General features: G+C 48.2%; 1 protein-coding gene across 2 annotated transcripts in view; it reads right to left on the minus strand.

Annotated features, from left to right (window-relative positions):
* SYNDIG1L (synapse differentiation inducing 1 like) overlaps window positions 1-26,570 on the minus strand; it is a 74,245-nt gene that overhangs the window by 5,244 nt on the left and 42,431 nt on the right. The window contains exon 1 of one of the 2 annotated variants that reach the window (NM_001105579.2): window positions 14,770-15,068. The exons of the other annotated variant lie outside the window; for it this stretch is intronic. The gene's annotated coding sequence lies outside the window, so the exon portion shown is untranslated. Of the gene's footprint in view, window positions 1-14,769; window positions 15,069-26,570 lie in introns of those variants that run through there. 2 annotated transcript variants of the gene reach the window in all.

Genomic DNA, 26,570 nt, shown 5'->3' on the forward strand with positions numbered 1-26,570 from the left:
GGATTTCTAATCTGAAGATTGGGGATTCAGTCCTGGTCTTGACGCCTTGGGCAGATCTTCGTGCCCTCTGTTTCCTTATCTGTAAGGTGTGGATGGTAATAGGGATTACCATCCATACATCCCCATAAAGTTGTTTTGTGGAGCCAAAGAGATGGCTGGGATGAGAATGTGTGGTAGATTTTGAGAGAGGGGGCTGCTGCCGCCCTGACTTCTGGGCTTCAGACTTTGGCGTCACCCACTTGGGGCCATGTCTGGCCTTCTAGCAGGTCTCTGCTAAGGGTGAAGGGCAAAGTGCAGGGAGATCCTTCTGCTCCCAGGGCTGCGATTATCTAGTCACCTCTCCAGTCCCAGCCCCCATGAGAATCCACAGCCAAATCCTGGAAAAGAGCAGTTTCTTCTTCTGCCCCAAGAGAAATGTCTGGATGCTAGGAAGCTGGTTCCTGAGAAACCTGAAGACAGAGCATGGCTCCAGGAACAATGCCCAGGTATTGGGACAGAGCAAGGGAGGAGTGGGGCCAATCAGACCTGGACGAAGACACTGAGGGTGTGTCCATGAGGGGCCAGGATCCCCTGGCTGACTTCCTAGGAAGCGGGGTGGGGGCTGCTGGCTGCATGAGGGCAAGGGGGCAAGAAGACACTACCCGTGGCTCTCAGCTCTGAATCCAAGACTGGCTGCCTCTAAGCTGGGCTCCAAGAACATCTAACAAATAATCATGGGGGTTACTCAGAGAAGGGGTTGTGGCCCAAGCGCCAGCTCCTCCCCCAGGGAGGGCACAGATGGTCCGGAGATGCTGGGCTGCCATGGGCCTGAGGGCCCTGCTGATGCATTAACCAGAGGTGAGTTCCATATAGGCTGTCATGCAGCTGTGGCAGACGTCTCTCCACAGGCAGAGATAGGGCGCACAGGCTTGGGCAGGTCATGCAGACTTGGATCATAGTTCTTCAGTGCTCACAAATGCAGGGCCTCCTCCTTCCTCTCTGGGGGTCAAAAATACAGGGAACCCCTTGGATTATAGTGATGTGGAGGGCACCTTCCAGCAGGTGGGGAGCACAGAGTGCCCAAGGCAGAGGCCTTGCTGGGCTGGGCTCGTGGCTGGGCTCCTCTGGGCAGATTTCCAGCAGGACTGGTCTCTTCTGCCCTCCAAGGGCAGCTTTGGAGCCCCTGCCATGGTCTCCCTTCTCCCAGTGGATGTGACCGTAGGTGTGGGGTTGAGGGCATGTGAGCTCTGTAAGCCGTATGGATTTGGGAGTCACGTACACTGGGATTCCATGCCCGGTCCACCCCCATTAGCTTTTTGATGTGGCCTCTCAGTTTCCCCAGTGAGTGATTGTATGAAATGGCCACTGGTGTCAATCAACTGTAGCACTAACATTCCATGATCCTATGCCCCCAAGGAACACCACAGAAGTGAAGTCTTGTTGTCCTCTGCCCCCTTTTGAGGGTCGGGGGTAGGTGAACACATGTAGAGCCTAGTGAGGGGCACAGTCATCCCCTTCCCTACCATAGCCCCTTGAGCAGGTTGAGGAAGGCAAAGGAGAGCAAGGCATCAGTTTTCCAGATGGGCGACAGAGCCATGGATTCATCTCGGGCTTCCCGACTGCCCCTGTACTGCCCCAGTTGCAGCCCTGCCCCTCCACCCCTGCCCATCTTGCCCACCCTCTGGGAATGGAGGACATGGCCCCCAAAGGTCCTCCAGCCTCTCCCCCAGCTGGCCATAATGTATGTCCCTTCAACCTGCAGCCTCGAGTCAGGTGCACTGTGCTGTCACCATCCATGTGGGCTGAGGCATGCAGGGGCCTTGGGGTGGGAGTGGGCAGCCCCAGGGCCCACAGAGCAGATTACTGCATCTGACTCACCCCTGCCCTACGCTCTGTCTCACCAGGAGGACTGCCCTCCTGTCTGATCTCTCCAGGAGGGATGGAAAGATACCTGAAGACCATAGGGGCATTTGAAGGACAATTGTTCAAAGCAGGCAGGGGCAGCTGAATCCCAGTTCTTCCCCCTATTCCCCCATCACTGCTCCTGTCAGACTTTCTTGGTCAAAGTACACCCAGCTGAGCCTCCGCAATCCCAGCCACACTCAGCCTTTACCAGCTTTCCTCCTCCCTTGGGCTCTGATGGTGCCTTTAAGCAGGGCTTCTCAGCACTTCATGCACAAAGACACATGGTCCTGGCTTTACACAATATGAAAAACTGGAAGCCACCTAAACGTCCAGCAATTGGGAACAAGTTAAATAAATTACTGTGCACAATACAGTTGTACGAGGCCTTCAAACAGGTTTACAAAGAGTAATGACGTGAGAAAATACTCATTGCAGATTCGGTGAGAAAGAAGAAAAGAAAATGGTAAATGCATGTAATCTCAACTCCGCCAAAATGTCAAGAGTGATTATCTCCAGGGGTGGGAGCACAGGTGCTTTTCATTTTCTTTTTTATACTGTTTTTTCTGTTTTCCACATTTTTTTTTTTTACAATGAGCATGTACTACTTTTAAACCAGAAAAAAATTAAGTGCATAGATTTCTTCTGAGCCAAATTATCTAAAATCAGTTTAAAACCTCCTTAGGCTGAGGGGTTCTTTCTAGGTTTGGCGGCTGAGCACAGCATTAAAGCCTGCCCCCTCACATATACACTCACACACACACACACACACAGACACACACTCACACCCACACACACCTCTTCTTCCATAAAGCAATCTGAGTTAGCAGCAGCTGCATCTGCTCACAGTCCAGCCAAGGGTCATGGTTCTCTACACAGCTCATACTCACCCCATATCCTACTAGGGCCACATGGGGAGTTCGCGGACGTGATCCTGGAGACCCAGCACAGATTCCTGACCAGAAGGAGAGGGTGGCAGGTCCCCAGACACAGCCTTCCTGCCCTTGGCTTGGCCTGGCCTTTCAGCCCATTCCTTGGGTCTGCCTCTCCCTGTTCACTGGAGTAAGGGACCGGCACTCAGAGCAGAGCAATTATCATCACCACCGTTGTGGTTTAGTCTTCCCTGGATGGTGTGTGCCTTCCAGACCCTGTGTGGTTACCTGAGGACCTACGGGTGAGTGTGCCCACACTCGTGTGTGTTTGTTTGTGTATGCATGCACGCACACGTGTGTGTGTAGGCATGCCTGTGTGTACTCTGCTCCAGAGGAACTATATGAGAGGTCTGGAATTCTGAAGCTGAGATTGCTCCAAATTGTGCAGCTGGGGCTGTGGGTCTGGGTCCCACAATGGGAGAGGGAGAGAAGGTGGCTCTGAGGCCGCAGCACCCAGGTTGTCTTTTTCTGAGCTGAGAACTTAGCTGGGCCCGAAGGTTTCCCATTCCCTGATTTGGGGATGGAGAGCACACTGCCACCTTCCAGACCAGGGGCAGGAAACCATTCAGGAATCCGCTGGAGTCAAATTACAGTCTCCTGCTGAGTCCAATTGCATTGGAGTCCAATCATACAGTGTGACATTGGTTCATTTATCTGTCAAATGTATGAGAGATTTAGGAGGAGTTGATTTTTAACAACTCAGCTCAATATGACTCTAGGATTTTATTGGGAGAAGAAGAATAACTTACACTTACTGAGTTTTTGACCATGTGCCGGGAACTGTTCTAAATGCTCGTGTTGACTCTAGATTCCTGGTAATAGAATAACAACAGGATAGAGGGCCTCCTTTTTCAGCTGGGGCAGACTAAGTCATGTCACGCCAAACCGCCAATAACAGCTAGAAAAGTGGTGTGTGGTGGGTGGGTAATATGAAGGCTTCAAGGAATCACCAAGGGAGTAAGAACTGGAGGGTCAGAATGCCAAGATCCCAGAGGAAAGAGAAACACAGGGAGGCCAGCCTGACACTTGACACTGCGTTTCCCTTTGAGACCTTTCCTGATTCCTAAGGGGCAGCTTAGAGGCTGCTCTTCCAGAAACCTCAGGGCTGGGGGTGAAAAATTGGAGGTCAGGACCTGTTAAGGAGGAGGGCCCCCAATAAATACCCTGGTTTTCAGCTGGGACCTCTTTAGGGCTACATGCTGGAAGTAGGAGCAACTCAGAAACAAACCAGCCCTCACAGCACTGAAACCAGGCTTTGAATCAGCTCCACCCCTTGTCGGATGAAGGCCATCTGCACACAGCCCAGCTGCCCGCCAGAAGCGAAAGTTGTCTCAGGGCAGGAGTTCTCAGACTTCAGCATGCATCAACATCACAGGGAGGACCTGTTAAACCTGGATTGCTGGATTTTACCCTAACGGTTTATGATTCTGGGGTGGGGCCTGGGAATTTGCATTTCTAACAAGTTCCCAGGTAATGTTGATGCTGCTGCTGGTTGAGGGACCACACTTTAAGAACCACTGCTCTGATAGTCACTGAAAAAAGAGTAAAAAAATGTATAACCACTATGAGGAATATGAAATAATAAAATTTTTTTCTTTTTTTTGAGACAGGGTCTTATTCTGTTTCCCAGACTGGAGTGCAATGGCATGATTCCAGCTCACTGCGCCTCGACTTTTTGGGCTCAAGGGATTCTCCTATCTCAACCTCCCAGGTAGCTGGGACTATAGGCATGTACCACCACGCCCAGCTATTTTTTTGTATTTTTTGTAGAAACAGGGTTTTGCCATGTTTCCCAGGCTGTTCTCAAACTCCTGGGCTCAAGCGACCCTCCCACCTTGGCCTCCCAAAGTACTATCCAAAAGGATAGTGCTATCAAAAAGGAGGCAAGAAAAAATAGAAAAAGGAATATAGAATAGGTGAGACAAATAGAAAGTAAATAGTTAAGATGTTAAGCTTATAACCAACTACATCAGTAATGACAATGAATGTAAATGGAATAAAATTGCCCAAAAAAAGACAAAGATAGTCATATAGTGTTTTATTCCACTTATTTGAAAGTCTAGGAAAGGCAAAACTATAGCGACAGAAAGCAGATGGGTAGTTGCTCAGGGCTGGGGGGAGAGGAGGGCATTGATTAGAAAGGGGCCTGAGGACTTTAAGGAATGTCAGAATTGTTCTCTCTCTTTTTTAAATGTATCTCTTTATTTTATTTTATAATTTTTAATTTATTGTTTCTTTTATATTTTCTTTTTCCACATGTTCTAATGTTCTATCTCTTGGTTGTGGTAGTGATTATAGGACTACATATATTTCACAAAACAAATTGAATTGTACACTTAAAATTAGTGAATTTTGTCATGTGTATTATATCTCAAAGATGACTTAAAAAAGACAAAGAGGCTAGGCATGGTGGCTCACATCTGTAATCAGTATTTTGGGAGGCCAAGGTGGGTGGATCAGTTGAGCCTAGGAGTTCAAGACCAGCCTGGGCGATATAATGAAACCCCATCTCTACAAAAAATAAAAAAATCAATCAGGTGTGGTGGTGCACACCTGTAGTCTCAGCTACTTGGGAGGCCGAGGCGGGAGGATCGCTTGAGGCCAGGAGGTCTAAGCTGCAGTGAGCCATGATTGCACCACTGCACTGCAGCCTGGGCAACAGAGCAAGACTTTGTCTCAAAAACAAAAACAAACCAAACAAACAAACAAACAAACAAAAAAGATAGATTGGACTTAACAAAATATGCTGCAAATAAGCAATGAAACTTAAATGTGACAATCCAAAAAGGTTGAGAGTAAAAGGATGGAATAATAATAACAACCTGTGCTTACTAAGTTCTTACTGTGCTCCAGACACTGTTCTAAATGCTATATATCATCTCATTTAATCCTTATACTAGCCATGTGAAGTCTATGTCATCATCATCTGCATTTTACAGCAAAAGACACTGAGGCATAGGAAAGTTGTAGGTGCTCACAGCACACAGCTGGTGAGTGGGGAGCTGGACATGAGCCTTGGAAGTCTGACGTCAGAATCACGGTACCCTAATGCCACTATGTATCAGCTACCATTATTGGGTGCTTGTTTTGTTCTGAACGCCATGCCAAGTGCTTCAAATGGGTTATCTCATTTAATCCATCCTCTTTAACATGTGGGGAAACTGGGGTTTAGAGAAATTAAATCGATTTTCTGAGATCACACAGCTAGAGAGTGGCAGAGCTCTATTTGACCCAAGTCTGTTTGACCAGAATGCATGCTTTTAGCCACCAAACAGATGCAGGGATGGGAGACCAGAGGTCCTGGCAAAGGTGATAAAACAGCTGGCCTGAACAGGACCATGTTCTCCAGGATTTGCTGTAGGGCTGACACCTTGAGGAGGGTTGCTGTGTGCACTGCCTGGTGGGCTCTGACCTGATTGGGAGGAGGCATCATGAACACTGTTAAAGAGAGGCCAAAAGGACAGTGTGGTGTATGTGACCAGGAGTTGGCTCACACCCTAGGATGGGGTCAGCCTTTATCAGAACCCTGTAAAATGGTAACAGCTGCTATTTATTGCATCCTCCCATGAGGTGTTCCATGTGCTTTATCTCAAAACTTTACAACAACAAATGAAGCCGGTTATTATTATTCCCCATTGTTTAGATGAGGAAACTGAGGCTCAGAACTTGCCCAAGATTAAACAGTGGAGAGACTGGATTTGACCCAGGTTTGATTTAGTCTAAAGCCTGGGCTCTGACTTCCCACTCCTTTCAGGGCATAACTGCATGGAGCTATGTGATTGGTGGATATGGAGGGTTGTGATATGTGGTAGGCGTGAGAGTGGTGAGGAGTTGATCTTGAATGAGTTAAAACCAGAGTCTTAAGTGACAGGAATGAGAAATGGGAGCGTTAAAAAAAGATTAAGAGATTTAGGGTGATTTAGCAGCCCAGGGGTAGCTGCCTAGATAACCCCAAGGGTCTGGATTCAAATAAATACCGAGCCTTTGTGAAGAAGTTGAGATACTGACCACTATCTCTCAGTGCAACAAGAGAGATTGCTTTTAAACTGAGAGATAAAAACCAGAACTTCCTAATCGGGCAGAAGATTAAATGTAAATTATTAAAATCCAGGGAAAAGGTGAAATCTTTTAGAACAGGCGCTAGACCGTCTTCTAATCAGATCATGTATAAACTGTTCTGTAAACTGTGAAGTGTTGTGACTCTGGTGGCTGTTTGTTGATGGCTTGGCGCTGGATTTGAAGATTTCTGGCTGGTGATAAGCGAAAGAGCCACCAAGCCAGCTTGGAGTCATTAGCTGCAGCTTGCTGCATTTGAGAATAAAGGGAGAAAGAGCCAGGGGTGGCGAGGGGGGCGAGGTTGGCAGAGTCAAAGAAAATGGGGAACTGAGCTTTCTTTGTCTCAGTTTGCCTTCTCAGCAAGCCTAACACAATTGATTATCCTTTCTCTCGCCTCTGTCTCCAACTGCTCCTAATTCCTGATCCTTCCTAATGGCACTTCAACATATTGTAGTCTCCCTCACTTAAAAAATAAAATCATTGTGATGATTGTAAAACCTGGCTGCAAATAATTCGACACTCTTTCTAGGAAGAGTTAGGGGGTCTATGCCCTTTCTCCCTAATCTGGGTGGGCTTGCAACTGCTTCAACCACAGAGCACAGCAAAAGTGATGCTATGTGACTTCTGAGGCCAAGGCATAAAAGGCCATCTTTCACCTTGCTCACTGGAACACTCGCTCTTGGAATCTTGAGCCATTCTGTAAGTAGTTGGATGATTCTGAGGCCACCATGCTGGAAAGGCCATGTGTGTATAGATGCTCTCATCGATGGAAGCTGCTGAGCCCAGCCTCCTCATCATCCCCAAGATGCCAGCCATTGTGAGTGAAGCCATTTTCGGTTCTTCAAACCAGCCCATCTGTCACCAAGTGACCTCTGTTAATGCCATACAGAGTGGAATGATCACATAGCTAAACCCTGCCTGCATTTCTGACCCTCCGAAGTCGTGAAGTATAATAAAATGTCTGTTGTTTTAAGCCACCAGGTTTTGGGGTAGTTGGGCAGCAACAGATCACTGGCACATCATTCCCCAGTGCCATTCCCCCTTTCGGCTCATGTCCCCTCTCTCCTTCACTTCCCATCTCTGTTTGTCAGAAGCTTCACTCACATTAGGATGCTCTAGCTCTCAGCTCAAAGGTCACTTCCTTAGAGAGGTCATCCCTAATTCCTCAGTCTAGATTTCGCCTCCCTGGTTATCTGCTCTTCACAGCTCCATGCTCCTTGCCTCAAAGTGCTTATCACAGTCTCTATTTATATATGTGTGATTCATTCATTAGCGTCTTTCTCCTTCACCAGACTGTGAGCTCCAGCGGGGTGGTAACGGTCTGTCTTGCTCCTCCCTGCATTCCCTTGCGTGGCATATACTAGGCACTCAATAGACAGTGGATCTCATGAATGAATGAGTGAATTAGTGAATGGGTGAGCTAGGTGTACTGAGACTCTCTGGGAAGAAAGTACTTTCCAGGATTTGGGGTAGATGGAATACATCTGGCTGAGGCACATTTGGTTCTGCACAATAAACATTTCTTGAACAATTACTTCAGGCCAGTTATTGGGTTGCAAAAATAAACCAGAAGTGGCACCTGCTGTGAGGAAGGGTAGAAAACACAGACTAGCAAATACAAAGTTTCAATAGATGGAGTAAGTTGTGCTAGCAGCACACAGAATGCTATGGGTGCATTGATAAGGGACCCCTATTGTGGGATGGCAGTGAAGGTGATGGTGAGAACTAGGAAGAGGCTTCTCAGAGCAGGTGACTTCTGAACTCAGTCTTGAAGGAAAAAGTAATAGGAATCATCTAGGTGACCGAATGAGAGAAGGGCATTTCCAGAAGAGGTTATAGCACAAAAGCATGGGGTAGTGATATAGAGGGGAAGCCAGGGTGTTTGGTAGCGATGGAATGAGGCAGGAGAGGTGGGAAGGCCTCCCATGCCATGCAGAGGAGCACTGGGGAGCCAGTGATGGGTGTAGCAGGGAAGTTCTATGGTCATGCCTATGTTTTAGACAGAGCACTCTGATGGGCGGCAGGGGATAGAAAGGATTTAAGGTGGGTGAGAATGGAGGCTAGGAGTCCTGTTAAGAAACTATTGTAGGAATGCAGGCAGAAGGCCAGGCACGGTGGCTCACACCTGCAATCCCAGCACTTTGGAAGGTCGAGGCGGGTGGATGACTTGAGGTCAGGAGTTTGAGACCAGCCTGGCCAACATGGTGAAACCCCATCTCTACTAACAACACAAAATTAACCAGGTGTGGTGGCGTGCACCTGTAATCCCAGCTACTTGGGAGGCTGAGGCAGGAGAATCACTTGAACCTGGGAGGCGGAGGTTGCAGTGAACCAAGATCATGCCACCCACCAGCCTGTGTGACAGAGTGAGACTCTGTCAAAAAAAAAAAAAAAAAATGCAGGCAGGAGAGGATGAGGACCTGAAACTGATCTGTGGCAGAATTGAAAAGGAGGAAGAGTCAGATCTAAGGAGCAATTAGGAGGCTAAATGAACAGGAATCTGTGGGTCACTAGAAGTGAGGAAGAGGAAGAGGAAGACGACAAAAGTGACTCCCAGGTTTCTGGCTTTGTCAACCAAATAGAAGGCCATGCAACCACCTGAGACAGAAAACCTAAGGGGAGGCTGCTGCCGGTTCAAGAGGGTAGCCTGAACACAAATGACCACCTCTTTTCCTTCTTAAGTTTCTATTAAAATGACAGGATGTATATCTTTTAAAAGAATAAAATCATAATAAATCCTGTGGAAAACAAAAAAGAATTATATCAGTGGGCCAGAAATTCCTGGAGATAAAGAGCAGATGAGATTCCTTGGTGAGGAAATCAGTGTAGAGAAACCTGTAGCCCCAAACACTGGAGGTAAGAACAACTCCCATTCAGAAGAGAGGCCTACTGTGGAAACAAACTTAGCCAACTTCAGAGGAAATTCATACTAGCTGCTTGTTCTAGTCAATGCCTTCCTTCATTCCTAAGTATAAATGGACAACAAAAGATAATAAAAAACAACTACAGGAAAATAAAAGAGAAGGATTAAATAAACAAATAGAACAAATGACCCAATAAGATCCCAAATCATTCAAGTTACAGAAAAAAAACTTTGAAAAAAAATTTTTTGAATTCATATCCTCAGGCAGATATAAAAGAACACTGCATCTATGAAACAATAACAGGCTGCTATGAAAAAGGAGCAATTCAAGAACATGAGCATTTTGGAAATTAAAAATAATCGCCGAAATTTTCAAAAATTCAGTGAAAAGACTGGATAATAGACTAGGCATAGATAAAGTAAGACCTTTCAATGTAAAAGAAAAAGTAAATGAAATTATCTAAGACATAGAGCAAAAAGACAGAAACATGGAAAAGGTAAAAGAAAGGTAAGGGACATGAAGGAGAGTCCCAGGAGGTCCAACATCAATCTAATAGGAGTTTCAGAAAGACACAACGGAAAGACTAGAGGAGAAAAATAACAATTAAAGAAGCAGAAGCGTCAAGTGTTTCCTGAACTAAAAAACAAAAAGGAATATTTAGATTAAAAGGCCCACCAAGTACCAAGCTGGAAAAATGAGACATACAGACACACACACAGAAGAGCAGGATGGGGAGAAGTGGACGAGTTTTGTTTTAAAGTGTGTTAAAGAGTAGAAATTCTGCCTGGCTGCTGGATGTATGGAGTCGAAGCCCTAGGTAGTGTTCAGGGCGGGAAAGAGATTTGAGAATCGTCGAAGGACCTTTGGAGAGAGAGAAGAGGAGGGAAGAAGAGAGAACAGAAAAGGAGAGGAGAAAGCTGATGGGGGAACCTGGGAAAGACAGATAAAACAGCTTGAACACTTCTTGGCTCCCACGGGAGGTTTCTTAGTCACTGTCTTCCAGGGAGAATCAATTGCCCTCTTTCTACCCCCTGCCACCCTGGGCTCCCATGGGCCAGACTGGCCTCTCCTTTAAAGCATAATCCACCTGCTTGGCAGATGGGCTTGTGGCTGACAAGGGTGAAAATTGCTGACAGGATTGGGATGATGGCTCTGCTACTCAAATTAGTCCATTTTCAGGTGGAAATCAAATCTTTTTTCTCACTGAAACAACCTGTCTCTCCGCTGAAGCAGCTCATTCCCAACCACTTAGAAGCAAACAGCACATCTAATGGCGGAAGATAACACACCTAATGAAGAGTTTCAGCATCCGGCCCCACTCCCTGCTTGGTTTGCTTGCTGGGTGATGGGGGTGGGGGCAGCTGCAGGGAGGAAGGAGAAGAGAGAATAAGGCAGGAGGTAAGAGAAATGAGGACTTGACATAAACGGCGGGGGTGAAGATCAGTCTTTAGTGTCCCCTGGCTTGCAGCAGAGGGGACCTTGCCCCATATGAGATGCCAGCTGAGTCCCGGAGAAGGGAAAGGGGTTGGAAAATGCAGGTTTAGAGAACTGGGATATTCCTTCTCCCAGGCTGAAGGCTGTTCCTCCTGCTTCTGTCTGCCCAGTGTACTTTGGAGCTGGAAGCCCCTCTAGGATGCACAGATGAATTGGCTTTTGGACTTGAAGGTAACCAGTGATGTGCAGATATCTCTGGATATTCTCTGCTTCTGCCATTTTGTGTGTATCACGCAGGGGAAGGGACCTGCATGTGTGTATTTCAACATTTTAATCTCTCTCTTCACACACACACACACACACACACACACAATTTCTCTTTTTTTTCTTTCTTTCTTTCCTTTCTCTCTTTTTTTTTTTTTAAGACAGGGTCTCCCTCTATCACCCAGGCTGCAGTGCAATGGCACGATCTTGGCTCACTGCAGCCTGCACCTCCCAGGCTGAAGTGATTCATGCCTCAGCCTCCCGAGTAGCTGAAGTTACATGCCTGGCTACTTTTTGTACTTTTAGTAGAGATGGGGGTTTCGCCATGTTGGCCAGGCTGGTCTCGAACTCCTGACCTCAAGTGATCCACCCGCCTCAGCCTCCTAAAGTGCTGGGATTACAGACGTGAGCCACTGCACCTGGCCACACAATTTCTTAATGACCATGTTGCATTTATTCTTCCTCTTTCTCAGCAGCCCCCCCGCCCCCAAGATCACCCAATCATGTGCCATATGCCAGGGTTGACTCCCTTCTTCCCTTTGAGGCCTTGTAGAAGGGCCCAGAATAAAAGCCTCAGCAAGGAGGGAACAAGAGGGGAACACAGGAAGCAGCCAATGGGTAGTTTTCCCCGGTCAGGAGAGGAGCCAGATGTCATCTGCCTGGGTGACCAGAGATGCCCTGCACCCTGACAGCTCTGGGAGTGGGGTGTCCACCCAAACAGCTGCAGAAGGAAGGCTAGTGTATTGTCCTCACCCCAGTAGCAGGCCAGCTCCTCTGCAGACCAGCCTTGCAGAAAAGAAAACACCTCACTAGCTTGCTGTTGCTGCTGCTGCTGCCGTCACTTTGTTATGAGGGTTAGTGACTGTCCATTAACTCCAGAGAGCTGATTCTTGCCAGTGCTGCACCAACAGCTGGGAGCCAGAAAGCGATGACGTGAGGAGGGGGGACTGGTCCCCCACCCTGGCTGGGCACTCACAGAATAATTCGGCGAGGTCACTGGCATGGTTTACTCAGCTCTACCGAAATGCCAATTAGCTAAGGTTTTTCTGAGCATCGGCTGGACCTGCCACAGTTGAGGGAAATTATTATCAGAGAAACTCATTTTGATTGATATATATATACACACACACACACACACACACGTAACACAAATATAAATTCTCTGTAGGGATGGATATTTCCTGCTTGTCCCCTCCTCTGGTCTTCCTAGGAGGGAGATCATAGCCAGGCAGGGTCCCTGGTAGGAGATGGCCAATGGTGGGGTCCCTGGCCCTTTGTTACTCACAAGAGATGGTGGTGGTGGTGGTGGTGGTGGTGGCAGGGATAATGGGGTGGTGGTTCCTGGCCTCTGGGCTTGGAGGCAGGAGCCCCTCTCAGTTCAGTCATTCTGAGTCACACTTATGGCTTTCCCAGAGAAATAAGAGAGGGGGTTCTTAAGAAAACATCAGAAATATAAATGGCTTTTTCTGGTTCCTATTGCTCACTTTCACTCCATTCATAAAATCCAGTTCATTACTAAAAGGTCATTAACTTTGTTGTCAAACCAGGTTGATAAAGCCGGCATCCTGTATTCAAGCAGAATTGAGGGGTTTATGGGTTTAGGACAGCCTCAGAAAGCCCTACAGAATATCAGGGCTTGAAATCTTAACTCATCTAGCCCAACTCTCTTCTTTTACAGATGAGAAAAATGAACCCCCAGAGGGGAATGGACCTGCCTGAGACAGCGGCGGATCTGTGACCAGAACACAGGGCTTCTGACTCCCAGTTAAATGCTTTTATTCTGATACACTTTAACATTTCATTCCCTCATTTTACACCCGATTACCGAGTCCTTACTATCTTCCAGGTGCTGTTGGGGAGGGGGTCATGAAGGGGGACAAAGAGATGAAAACAACACAATTCCTGCCTTCAGGGAGCTCTTTCCCTAGATCTGTGGTTCTTAGGGAGAAAAAATAAAAACCGGTGAGTCAGACTCTTACCTTATATTATCTCCTATAGGTGATGATGGAAGAGGAGAAGAAGGGAGGGCACACTTTTTTCTCCTTAAGGTTTATAAGTTTGGCTTCACTGATTCTGGGACCCCACGGTGGCCAAGGACAAAGGGAGACATGGCCATGCTGGGAGAAGAGGGGGTAGGGGTGACAATAATCAGGTCACTGACAGCAGGCCTGGCTAGGGGTTGGGAACAGTGACAGCAGCGCACACTGGTATGGAGATGTACAGGTGGCAAGCCTCCAATCAGGTGCATTGTTTTTCATTGGGCCCCAAGGCAGTTCCCTGAGGTGAGCAGAGCGGTGACCTTATCCCCACTCCAGGGGTGAGGAGGATGAGGTTGAAAGAGCTTAGGGAACTAGCTAAAGCCAGTAAATGCCAGCACCCAGCCAGGAACTCCTACTCTAGTGCTCTTTCTACCCCTGGGGGTAGGGAAGTTGTGTTGGGTTGGAGGGTGGGGATAAAGCAGTAGAAAGAAGTGGTCAGCCACAAGGGTAGGCCAATTCTTCCTCCACGCAGTTTTATTTTGATCGCTACATTCTGCCAGTCATAGAGAACTCTGCTCTGAAGAACTAGAAGCACTTTGCAGGCCTGAATGAGCTCATTCAGCGCACTCTTGCCAGAAAGAGAGAGAACTCCTAATGGAGGCTCTGTCTAGGGTCACCAGCACATAATAGAAAACAGGACCCAGGTTCCCTGACTCTTTGCCCTCATGCGCCAAGAGATGTGATGCAAATCCTGCCTGCTTCTGTGAGCGTCAAGAGTGTCATAGGAAAAAAAATTGAGGTATCTTCCAGGACCTCCTTCCTTCCCTGAAGAAATGGGTTAATCCATCCTAAGGGGCCTTGGCCCAAGAGCCAATCCCTTGGCCCAAGAGCCATTTCCAGGGCAGAGAAATCTCAGAGCAGGGGGTACCACAGCCACCTCAGTCACCTGGGTGAACAGGTTTGGGTGCGAGAAGAGGGGAGCTTAGTGAAGCCTGCTCAGATTTTGCTAGTGTCGCAAAACCTTGGTGGGGACTGGGGTACCAGGGAGTCTGAGGCTCTAATCAGTATTTCTTGCCGTCAGTAGGCAGGATGTCTAGGAGCTGCCTGAGGTCAGGGTCAAGGCCTGATGTTGTGAGGTTATGGTGTCTTGACCCCAGTTCATCAGCCCCCTCCCAGCACCCCCAGCCTGCAGGATGAGGGGTAGGGAGGGACGAAGTGCAAGCCTTGGCGGAGCGCAAGGTGCGGCCAAGCAGGGAGTCAGAGCCCCTAGCCCCGAGAGGGCTCCCGTGCCCTCCCCAGCTCACTCCCCGCTCCGTGCCTAGCTCTGCGCTCCCGCGGCGCCCCCAGACCGCCCCTTACCTGTCCCGCCGCGGACGGTCCCGCCTCCTCCGCGGGGCTCGGGGGCTCGGCATGGGCCGGTGAGCGACGGCGCCCCCGCCTCGCGGTCGCGGTGGAACTCCCAGGAGGGCTCCCCTGCTCTCGTCCCCGCGTCCCTGAGCAGCCGCCGCTTCAGCACCGCGGACAGCTCCCGCCCGCAGCCCGCCGCCGCCGCCCGCCCCGCCCCGCGCGGTCCCGGGAGCCCCGCATCCTGGCCGGGCCCCGCCGCCGCCGCCGCCGCGCAGCCCTCGGCCCGGCCCGAGGCGGCTCCGCGCCGACTTGGGAGAGCAGCGAGGAGGGTCCCCCTCCTTCCCGCCTCCCGCCGCCGCCGCCTCCCTCTCGCTTCCGTGCTCCGTGCTCCCTTCCACGCTCCGGAATCAGCCCACCAGGCACTCCGGACCCGGCTCCGGGGCGGGGCGGGGCGGGAAGTCGGGGGAGCCCGGAGGAGGCGGCGAAGCGAGGGGCGCGCAGCTGGAACCCGCGTACCCGCTTCCTGGAGCCGAGCCCTCTTTCCCAGCCCTTCTCTCCCCTCCTCCCGCGCACCCCAGAGCGATGGGAGGCCCTTGGGCTTCTTGAAGCATTTTGGAGCTCCTAGGCTCCAAAGCCAGCCCTGAGTTTTTAACATTGATCTGCCCTAAAAAGAAAAACAAACAGAAAGCATTTATTGAGCACCTACTATATACCAGATACCAAGCCCGATAATGTGTTTAATCAACATAAGCTCATTTAATTTTCTTAACAACTCTATTAGGCAATATAGTGCCCCTCTTCCCCTCTTCCCCTCCCCCTGCCCCCCTCCCCCTGTCCCCCTTCCCCCTCCAATTTTGCAGACCAGGACGCTGGGCTCACAAGGATGAAATCCTGTGATTTGGAGATTCAGTGCTGTGCTGGGAAGGGCACAGGTTTTAAAGCTCATGGACCTAAGTTTTGGTCCTAGGGTCCCACTTGCTGTATAACCTCGAGCAAGTTACCTAACCTCTTAAAGCCTCAGGTTCCTCATGGACAAAGTGAGGGGTCATATGAGGACAAAATGAGATGACATACGTGACACATTGGCACTCAATAGGCACTCAGTGAGTGAGCGTCCCCCTGAGTTTTCCCAGCAAGAGCCCTGAGATCCGAATGCAGGCCTTTTGGCTGCTTTGTCTCCACCCTGTGCTGCTCTTTATCCACCTCCACCTGCGTTTCCTTTTTTTTTTTTTTTTTTGCATGGGGATGCCCTATCTTGAGTGTTACCAGTGGATGAACCTATTCTTCGAGCGCCTTCACAAGGTCTTGAGTCTCACCAAAGTCCCAGGAGGTCAGGAGGAGAGAGTATTCTCATTTTCTGAAGGTAAGTGTGGGTTTGCAAAGTAAACCACAGAGCAGGCTGCAGCTGGGGCTGGAAGACACAAGGAACCAGGGTCTGGCAGTGGGATTCCACTAGCATCCACTAGTCTCCTAGCATCCAGCTGAGGATGCTATAGCACATAGCATGGTGGACTCCAGGACTCCTTCACTCCCACAGGATGTGGGCATCTGGCACAGTTCGGTGTAGCTCCTAGAGTGCACAGTAGGAGCCAGGAGCAAGTCCACATCATGGGGCTTGGGTCTCCTTCCCTTCAAGGCAGGACAGAGAACTCCCTTATCCTGGGGTCTGTCTCAGGGCTGGTATTGGTGTTTAACTTGTTGGGTGCTAAATATATTATTGCTCTTCCTGTCTCTGCCCCATTAGTGGATAATGCAGTGAGAAGCCCCCTGAGGCCAGCAAGGGTCTTGGACCACTCATCTCAGGCCCATACTTCATCTTCACAGACACCCTCCTCCTCAAAACACAGACATACAGACACACACACAACACAGACACACATAGACACACACAGACACACACACAAGACATTGTCTCTGATGTCAGGCCACCCTCCTGTACCTTTGCTTTCTCTGGCCTTCCTCTCACAGGGGCTCATGGCCACCTACTTGGCCTTGGCCTCCCTCTGCTGCTCCCCTCCCCACCCTGGCTGTGCTCCATGCCTGGGCTGCATACTGAAATACTAATTGAAAGGATAATAAAAAAGCCAGTGAAGCAAAAGCCGCATATAAATTCTAAATACTAATGTTGATAATTACATGCTGCTGCCTGGAGGGAAAACTCAAAGAGAGGCTGTTGGTGTTGTATCAAGGGCCCTGGCCTGGTGCCAGGAGACCCAGGTTCTAGTCTCGCCTTTGTCATTAATTGGCTGTGCGACCTTAGGCAGTCGCCTAATCTTCCTGGGCCTTTGCTTTCTTATAATTCAATAGCTCTGAAGAAACTATAAGTGCAATCAGCAATGTATGATGCTTGTGACAGAGAACAGTGGGTAATGCAGTGATAAGAATTTCTTCCCGGGAAACTAACCTTTACCTCTCACAAGGTACAGGGGTGGCTTAGGGACTGAAGAATCTACAACCATGCAAAGTTTCCATTCTTTTTCCATTCTCTCTTTATCCCTCCCTTCCTTTTTCCATCAAGCATTTCCTGCCATGTAATGAAAATCAACCCCTCTGTTAGACACCAAGAATGGAAAGTATAAACCATTGTCCAGGCCTTTGAAGGAGCTGCAATGAAGGGGATGCGGTCCATAGACATGTTGACCAGCAATTCCAACACCTTGTGATAAATGCTGTCATGGAGTAAGTGAAGAGTGCCAGAGAAGAAAACAACTCACCCTGCCTGGGGAAGTCCCAGGAGGCTTCCTGGAGAAGGTCTGAGTTTTATTAAAGGATGAGACAGTCACCAGGCAGGCCATGGGAGGAGGGGATTGTTGGTAGGAAGGCCGGAGTGAACAGATGAGCCTGGAGGACTGATGAGGAAGCTCCACCAGAGCCCAGGAAAGAGGTGGTGAGAACTTGAGCAAGGCAGAGTCAACAGGACGGGAGCAGGGAACGGATTTAAGACACTTCTGGGTGAAAACAGAGAGGAGAGATTGGTTGTGGGGAAGGGAGCAAGTCCAGAAGGGTAACACTGGGGGCTCCTGCTGCTGGGAAGCTAATGCTATTTACCAGAGGGCATCAGGAGGGGAGCAAACTGCTTACCTTGGGTAATGCTGCTTAGCACCATAGCCCCTCAGTTTCTAGGCACTCTCTCTTTTTTTAAAATTTTATTTTCCCTTTGGTTCCTAGAAAATTTTCTTCAGCTAAAAAGGCTCCTCCCATCTTGTCTTGATTATCTGAATGGAAAAGGGAAAGGCCCAGACTTGGGCCAGGAGAGCTGACTGGGGCAGAGCAGCCCTGGAAGCTCACCTGGAGGTAGCAAGCATCCTCGCTGGGACTAGGGTGAGGACCACAGGTAAGGGACAGAGTAGGCACTGGCTGAAAACCTGGGAGGGGATGCCCTCGTGTCCTCTTCTCCTCCCACATCTCTGACATTCCTTAAGTGAAATCCAACCCTAGAGGGTTCTGTTTTAGTTGGAGTCAGCTCCGGCTGCTAATCTCTTCCCACCTGGGGACTTCCCTTCATAAGCTTTTTCATGCATAAACTCTTGGTTCTTTTTACAAGGGGTTGATTGCCTCACAGTGTTCTCTAGGGAATGTAAATCAGCACCAAGCATAGAGAGGCCTGCCCCACTACTACTTCAATAGGCCACACACTGGAAGAGATGCTTCCCTTAAGAGGACAGGTGAGCCCCACCCCTGGCCTAGTGAGCCCTCTACCTCGGAGTTGAGCTCACGGCCAAGGCCATATGGCTGTGACCCACAAATCCCTGGCTAAAGGAGGGATTGTCTGGCAGAGGACAGGAGAGGTGGGCCTTTGGACTGCCCATCAGCCAAATCCTGCACTCATGGATATGGCTCCAGGATGACACAGTTCCAAGGAAGGGTGCATATGTGGCTGTAAGCAAATAGTGGGAACAAATTCTTGACCCTTAATGCTAGAGAGAACCCTGGAAACCCTTACTGCTTCTGAGTCAGGCCCTTTGGTTTGAGGCAGACCCCCAGCAATGAAGTCTAGAGTTGTCTGTCTTTTAAACTTCTTATTTGGGGGGCTTTGGAAGTACATTACCACAGCTGCTCACTTCTTTTTTCCATAGGAGACTGCAAAACGGAAGAAGCCATTTCTTTAGAAACACACTGATTCATGCCCAGGAAAGAAGATGAGGAGAGTTCTTAGCACCGGTCCCGCCCGATTCCCTGCTTTCCTGCCAGGCACACACTCACTCAAGCCTGGGGAGCAGAGTGGGTGAGCTACTGCCAATTTGAGAGGTAGAACCAGAGCATAAAGTGAAGGAATCCAGCCACCGCAGACTGCACAGCTCTGAACTCCACCACTAACTCTGGCATCCGCAGGCTGCTCGGGGCATGTGAGCATTTGCACCCTGGCAGAGTAACCTGCACTCTTGGCACTTTCCCACTTTGCTGGAGCAAGGATGAGTGAGCGTATATGTGTGAGAGGTTGGGGGTGCCAGGGTGGGGCTTATCAACAGTGGCAAGCAGATGGCAGGGTTCTTTCACCTGATATGGTAACAAAATGAAAATGAGCGGAAGAATACGCATTCTTTTTTTTTTTTTGAGACAGAGTCTCACTCTGTCACCCAGGCTAGAGTGCAATGGCATGATCTCGGCTCACTGCAACCTCCGCCTCCCAGGTTCAAGCGATTCTCCTGCCTCTGCCTCTCAAGTAGCTGGGATTACAGGTGTGTGCTACCATACCTAGCTAATTTTTGTATTTTTAGTAGAGATGGGGTTCACCATGTTGGCCAGGCTGGCCTTGAACTCCTGACCTCAATTGATCCACCCGCCTTGGCCTCCCAAAGTGTTGGGATTGCAGGCGTAAGCCAACATGCCCGGCCTAGCATTCTTTATATTTGCTTGCACACTACAATTTTTTTTTTTGAGACAGAGTCTTACTCTGTCACCCAGGCTGGAGTGCAGTGGTGCAATTGCTGCTCAACACACAGCAATTTTTGAAGCATCTGCTTTGCCATTATCTCATTTCATTCTTATAAACATGTATAATTCCCAGTTTACAGATGAGGAAAACTAGAAGCTAAGTAACCAGAGAAGCTAAGTAACTTCCAACTTGGAAAAAATAGTCAGAGATCAATACCAAGCCAAAAGAAAAAAAATGAAACTGATGCATAATCCTGCCTTCTTCCTGCCCTTGAAGCCAGAGCCAGTGTGATGGGGCTGGGGGAGTTGCAGAAAGAGGCCTTCTTTGCCTTCACCCTGAACTGGGACAATGCAGAGTGGGCCCCAAGCTCCTGCAAATCCCTGATTGGAGCCCTTTAAAGAGCTAAGACCAGGACCCAGGACTGCTCCCATCTTTGTGCATGTGTGTATTTTTGCATGTGCGTGTGTGTGTGTGTATATGTAAGGTAGGGTGTGTTTGCCCCAAGAATGGCTTTCTGAGCTTGGAAAGTGAGCCTTTCTCCCTCTGTGTAAAGGGAAGAACTTTCCTTGTGCCTTCCTGTGGGTCTGGGGAGGCAGGGCTCTGGAAGGCAAAAGGTTATTGGTACTAAGAAAACATCCTTGGGGAAGCTGGAGAACTTGTTATACTCTTTGGTCCAGGACATGAAAAAGAGTCCATTTTGACTGTCTACTCTGTATTAGACAGTTTTATCTTTTAATCCTCAAAATAATTCAATAAGTTTGTTTTTAATAAAGGCTCATGGAAGTTAAATTAATATACTAGATTCATACACTCAGCAAATGACTGGGCAAGATTTGAAGCCGGGTCTGTGTGATGCCAAAGCTGATTTTTTCCCCCACTGTCTACCCCAGAAATCTTACTCATCTGCATCATTGTCCAAGGAATTGTGACATTTAATGAGGGAGCAGAAAGAGAAACAAGAGGAAATAACTTCAAAATGTACAGAGAATCTCTGGACATGCCACCCTCAGATGGAATGTGATGGTGCAAGTCCCCAACTTCTCCGCTAGATCAGGAACTTGGACTTGCTGAACTCAAAGGCTGAGCCTTTCAATATGCTCTGTTCATTTCTCTTTTGTTTTATCTTAATTTTTCTCATGTTCCTTTTGAAGATTGCAGCCTAATTCAGCTGGGTTAAGGGAACCCAAGAGTGAACAGGTGAGGGAGGGAGGAGCACTGGGAGCACCACCCTGGGGGCTAGCAGGGTCTGCAAGCAGAGGGGGAAGTGAAAAAATGCCCAGAGAGAAGGGGAAACACTCAGCCTACTGTTTCCTTTTTGCCAGAACACCCACTCCCAAGGACTCTCCTCTTCTTATGCCTTGGAAGGTGTGTGTGTGTGTGTGTGTGTGTGTGTGTGTGTGTGTGTGAGAGAGAGAGAGAGAGAGAAAGGGAGAAGAAGGGATAAGCCAATGAGGCCACACTACTTGCAGTTATCAGCTTCTTGATCCCTGGTCGCCCATGGTCCCAGCAGCAAGCAGTGCTTGGGGCACCCATGTAAGGCTGTGCATTACAGCAAACACATATTTGGTTTCACTGAAGCCTTCATCCCATCTCTCCTCCACACCCTGGTATATAATCCTCTCCCTCTGGCTCCCAAGCCTGTTATTCCAGCACAAACTGTGGGCCCTAACTGTGCTATGATGGCAGGGCTCTGTCATGTCAATGAGAATGTTAACAGCTAGAGTAGTGAAGGCACACTGAGCCAGGTTGGGCACTGGAGAGCTATTGAGAGAGAGGTACAATAGAGGTAGAAGGAGAAGGTTAGGTGAGGTGGCTCACGCCTGTAATCCCCTCACTTTGGGAGGCCAAGGCAGGTGGATTGCTTGAGGTCAGGAGTTCGAGACCAGCTTGGCCAACATAGTGAAATCCTGATTCTACTAAAAATAGTAAAGTTAGCTGGGTGTGGTGGCATGCCTGTAGTCCCAGCTACTCAGAAGGTTGAGGCAGGAGAATTGTTTGAACCCGGGAGGTGGAGGTTGCAGTGAGTCGAGATTGCACCACTGCACTCCAGCCTGGGGGACAGAGGGAGATTCTGTCTCAAAAAAAAAAAGAGACAGAAGGAGAGATGGATGGACGGTAGACTTTTTTGAGCTCCTGCCATGTGCCAGGAACTGTGTTAAGAGTTTTTAAAAATGTACTATCTCAATGAATTATCTATTAAATCTACGATGTAAACATTTACTATAAAATATGATTTGTATTGATTCTTAAATAATTTAATAAGTGCCAGGTCTTGTGCAGATGCTCTATACACTGTTTCATTTCATCTTAACAATACTTCATTTCTTTGGCGCTAGGAGAACAATCATTGAGATCTCTAACCCTTGCCTGAGGAGATGCTGTGGGGGGCTGGTGGAATGAGCAGGATTCTTTGCATCAGGCACACCTAGGTTCAAAGCATGGTAGGTTTGTAATACATGTTTGCTCTTTTTTGGAAGCAATTTGGTACCCTGTATCAAGGGACAGAGTAAGTTCACTACTGGGAAACCATCCTAAGACAATATTAATAGGTAACATTTTTTGAGTAACTACTACATGCCAGGCACTTGTTTAGATAAATAATCTGATTTAATTCCTTTTTTTTTTTGAGACGGAGTCTTGCTCTGTCACCCAGGCTGGAGTGCAGTCGTGCAATCTTGGCCCGCTGCAACCTCCACCTCCTGGGCTCAAGTGATTCTCGTGCCTCAGCCTCTCAAGTAGCTGAGATTATAGGCACGCACCCACCACACCTGGCTAATTTTTTGTATTTTAGTAGAGGCGGTGTTTCACCGTGTTGCCCAGGGTGGTCTTGAACTCCTGAACTCAGGTGATCCGCCCACCTCAGCCTCTCAAACTGCTGGGATTACAGGCGGGAGCCACTGTGCCTGGCAATCTGATTTAATTCTAACAACCCCACAAGGTAGGTACCATTATCATCCCTATTATGCAGATGTGAAAACTGGGACATATAATTTACCCAAGGTTTTATGGCTTGTAAGGACAGAGCCCAGATTCCAACCCAGGCAGCCTGGCTTCAAGGCCTCACTCTTAACCTTAATACCATACTAACTATGTAAGCTTTGCACACAAAACTAGCCATCACAGTATTATCATTACAGAAAAATTGGAACATATATAAATGTCCAAAAAATAGGGCAATGGGTACACAAATTTAAATGATATTTTAAGAGTTTGCAATATCATGGGAGAAATGCTTATGTTATGAAATGAAGTGGAAAAAAGCAGGTTACAAAATTGCACATATAATATAACAACAAGTATGCCAAAAAGCCCATAAAAATCTTAGGAGGAATTAAAACAAAATGCTATTAAGGGTTGTCCCTTGATGGAGGTAACTTTGGTTCATTTAAACATTCCTCTTTATCCTGTTTTTGTATTTTCTAACTCTCTGCAATATGCATGCACTACCTTAAAATTATTTTAAAGCTTAAATAAAAATAAATATCCATTGAGTGAATGATTGCTGCATTGGGTACCCTTTGAAGACTCATCCTCTCTCTCAAAATCTTTACTCCCAGCAGGAACAGTGGTGGGATTGGGGAGTGACCTCTACCCCTGGCCTGCCTCGGTGGGAGAATAATAGTAAATGAGGTCACATTTCTAAAGGATTATGTTCTCCTTACAGCCCTAGTGATCCTCACAGAAAAAAGGAAGGCAAATAAAAAGCAGTGGGGAGGATGCAGGGAGTGGGAAACACAGTGGAGGGGGAGAAAGAGGTGGCAGAGGAGATGACTTGGGGAGGAAAGGGGAAGAGATCAAGGCAAGCTGGAACATCCAGAAGGGTCAGGAAACTGGGAGGGGAAAGTGAATGAGTGACGAGGCATGATAAAGAGAGGGCAGATATGAGAGAGAGAGAGAGAGTTTCTACACAGCAAACTGGTAAGGGATTTAATTCATTTCATTCTGCTAAGCTGCAATGTTTTTCTTCAATGTTATAGAAACCATTTTCTTCAGTTAAACACTGAAAATCTAGGGGAAGCTGGCAGGCTGGGCGCGGTGGCTCACACCTGTAATCCCAGCACTTTGGGAGGCCGAGGCAGGTGGATCATGAGGTCAGGAGATCGAGACCATCCTGGCTAATACAGTGAAACCCCATCTCTACTAAAAAAAAAAAAAAAATTAGCCGGGCGTGGTGGTGGGTGCCTGTAGTCCCAGCTGCTCGGGAGGCGGAGGCAGGAGAATGGAGTGAACCCAGGAGACGGAGCTTGCAGTGAGCCGAGATCGTGCCACTGCACTCCAGCCTGGGCAACAGAGTGAGACTCCGTCTCAAAAAAAAAAAAAAAAAAAAAAAAAAAATCTAGGGGAAGACTTTTCCTGGGTTTGCAACTTGAATCTCTCTCCCTGCCTGGCCTTGCCCTCCATCCTCAAGGCTCCAGCCAAGAGTACTTCTTTGGGCTGTAGCCATTGCAGTCTTCCAGGGACAACCAGGCCTATCCCTGCTTCAATTCAATCAGCCAATACTGGGAGTTTTGGTGCCAATGGACAAGCATCAGGACATAAAAACAAGATTAAAGCTCAACTGTTCCAGAGCACAGTGTACAAAGGCTGCTTAAAGCTTCCAGTTTGCAAACCAAATCGTGGAACAATGTAAGATCTTCAAGAATCTTCTGTAGAATTCAACCACAGGGAAAGAAATGAGGCCCAGAGAGAAGAGTTGGCCAGGGCCAACAGCTGGTTGGCAGGGGAGTCTGGGCTTTGTGATTCCTTACCCAGTAGAATGATAGCTTCTGATAGTAGTGATGTTTTGTGTTTTCAAAGTGCTTGCTGTGAATCTGACTACTCTTCTTTTTACCTCCGTAATATGCATTGGGGTAGGTAACCCAGTAATAAGTTCTATTTTTGTAGGTAGAAAGTCAGCAGCTCAGACAGGTCATGGAATGTTCTCCCAGCATCACTGAGCTGACGACTGCTGGAACTGGGGCTCACACTAAATCTTCTTGGGAACATGTACAGGGGACTTTGTGTGAGGCCACACACTCTCCAGAGGAACTTTCAGCCGTGGAAAGTGAGGAGCAGTTTTGATTTCTGCAGTTTGCTAGAGCCGTCAGGAGTTCCTCCTTGCTGCAGCACAGCAAGTGTTAGAGGCATAGAGTGAGTGTGTCCAAGTTTCTACCATAATTTTCTGGTTTCTGCTGTAAAATCCTCTACTTGGCTACAGTTCTGATAGTGTGAGGCCTCAAACCCATTATCACTGAGAGCCACTGAGAAAGCATTTACTATACACAGAAAACAGGGTAGGTTCTGGGGATACAAAGAGATATGAGATATTGCTCTGGCCAGCAAAGACGGGATGATTTTAGCTGTGGAATAAGGACAAATACATATATGTACAAAGAGATAACAAGTCTGGGTTCTCCAGAGTACTCCCTTTGCATGTGCCATTCTGCTTCCTTGAAATCCCTTACCCCACTCATTTTTTTTTTTTTTTTTAAGAGATAGTGTCTTGCTCTGTCGCCCAGGCTGGAGTGCAGAGGTGCCATCATATCTCACTGCAGCCTTGACCTCCTTGGCTCAAGCAATCCTCCTGCCTTAGCCTCCCAAAATGCTGAAATTATAGGCATGTGCCACCATACCTGGCTAATTTATTTATTTATTATTTATTTTTGTAGGGACAGGGTCTCACTTTGTTTCCCAGGCTGGTCTCAAACTCCTGGCTTCAAGTGATCCTCCTGCTTCAGCCTCCCAAAGTGCTAGGATTACAGGTGTGAGCCACCACGTCTGGCCAACCCACTCACCATTAAAAGCTCAGCTCAGCTGGGTGCAGTGGCTCACACGTGTAATCCCAGCACTTTGGGGGGCCGAGGCGGGCGGATCTTCTGAAGTTAGGTGTTCAAGACCAGCCTGGCCAACATCATGAAACCAAGTTTCTACTAAAAATACAAAAAATTAGTCAGGCGTGGTGGGACGCGCCTGCAATCCCAGCTACTCGGGAGGCTGAGGCAGGAAAATCGCTTGAACCTGGGAGGCAGAGGTTGCAGTGAGCCAAGATCATGCCATTGCACTCCAGTTTGGGCGACAAGAGCGAAACTCGTCTCAAAAAAAAAAAAAAAAAAAGCTCAGCTCAGGGGTTTCCTCCTTGGTGTCTTTTCCCAGACTCCTCTGCCTGGGCTGGATGCCCCCTCTCTGGCTTCCTGTAATAGCTCGTATTTTCCCTCCCATAGCACTCAGAGCGTTGTACTTTTACATCATACTTGTCTCTCCTTCACTTGACTCTGAGTTTCTGGGAGGAGGTTGGGGGTGTATTTCTATCCCTTGTACCTAGCTTATGCCTGACATAAGTAAACACTTAATAGATGTTTGCTGAATAAAGAAAAGCAACCATTCTGCCTCTACTGCCTCCAGCATATAAGCTCTAAGGCCCTTGCAGCTCTGATGTCCTGGGACCTCATGCCTGCTGTTTGAGGCATGGATTTCAGTGACAGGGGACTCAAATCATTGAGGCAGGGCATGACTTCACTTAGTAGTAAAGGAAACCACCTCACTGTAGCCCCTCTTTTCCTCCTCAAGTACCTAATGATAAATCGATCATGAACAACAGTGGAGACTTGTGGCTTACTTCACATCTCTTTTGTTAGAATGACCAGGGCTGGAAGAAGTCCAGCAGAAACTTGCTGTCCACTTCTAACAAGGTCTTACTCATGTACCTGGTTGCCAGGCAGGTGAGGCTGGGAAAATTTAGTGGCTAGACAACACAGAACATGCAAGAAAGGAAACTAGCTAAGAGTATTTGCAGATTAGAATGGCAAGGAAACTAGATGGAAACAAACATTCAAAGTACCTGCCAGGCTTTTAATAATGTCAGAGGAGAAGAGCCTGGAACCAGCTGGAGGAAAAAGATAAGAAACACATTTATTTCCTCTGCCTGGACCACATCAACTATCCCCCAGCTCCCACCCCT

Source organism: Homo sapiens, chromosome 14 (assembly GCF_000001405.40).
Source record: "Homo sapiens chromosome 14, GRCh38.p14 Primary Assembly".
NCBI lineage: Eukaryota > Metazoa > Chordata > Mammalia > Primates > Hominidae > Homo > Homo sapiens.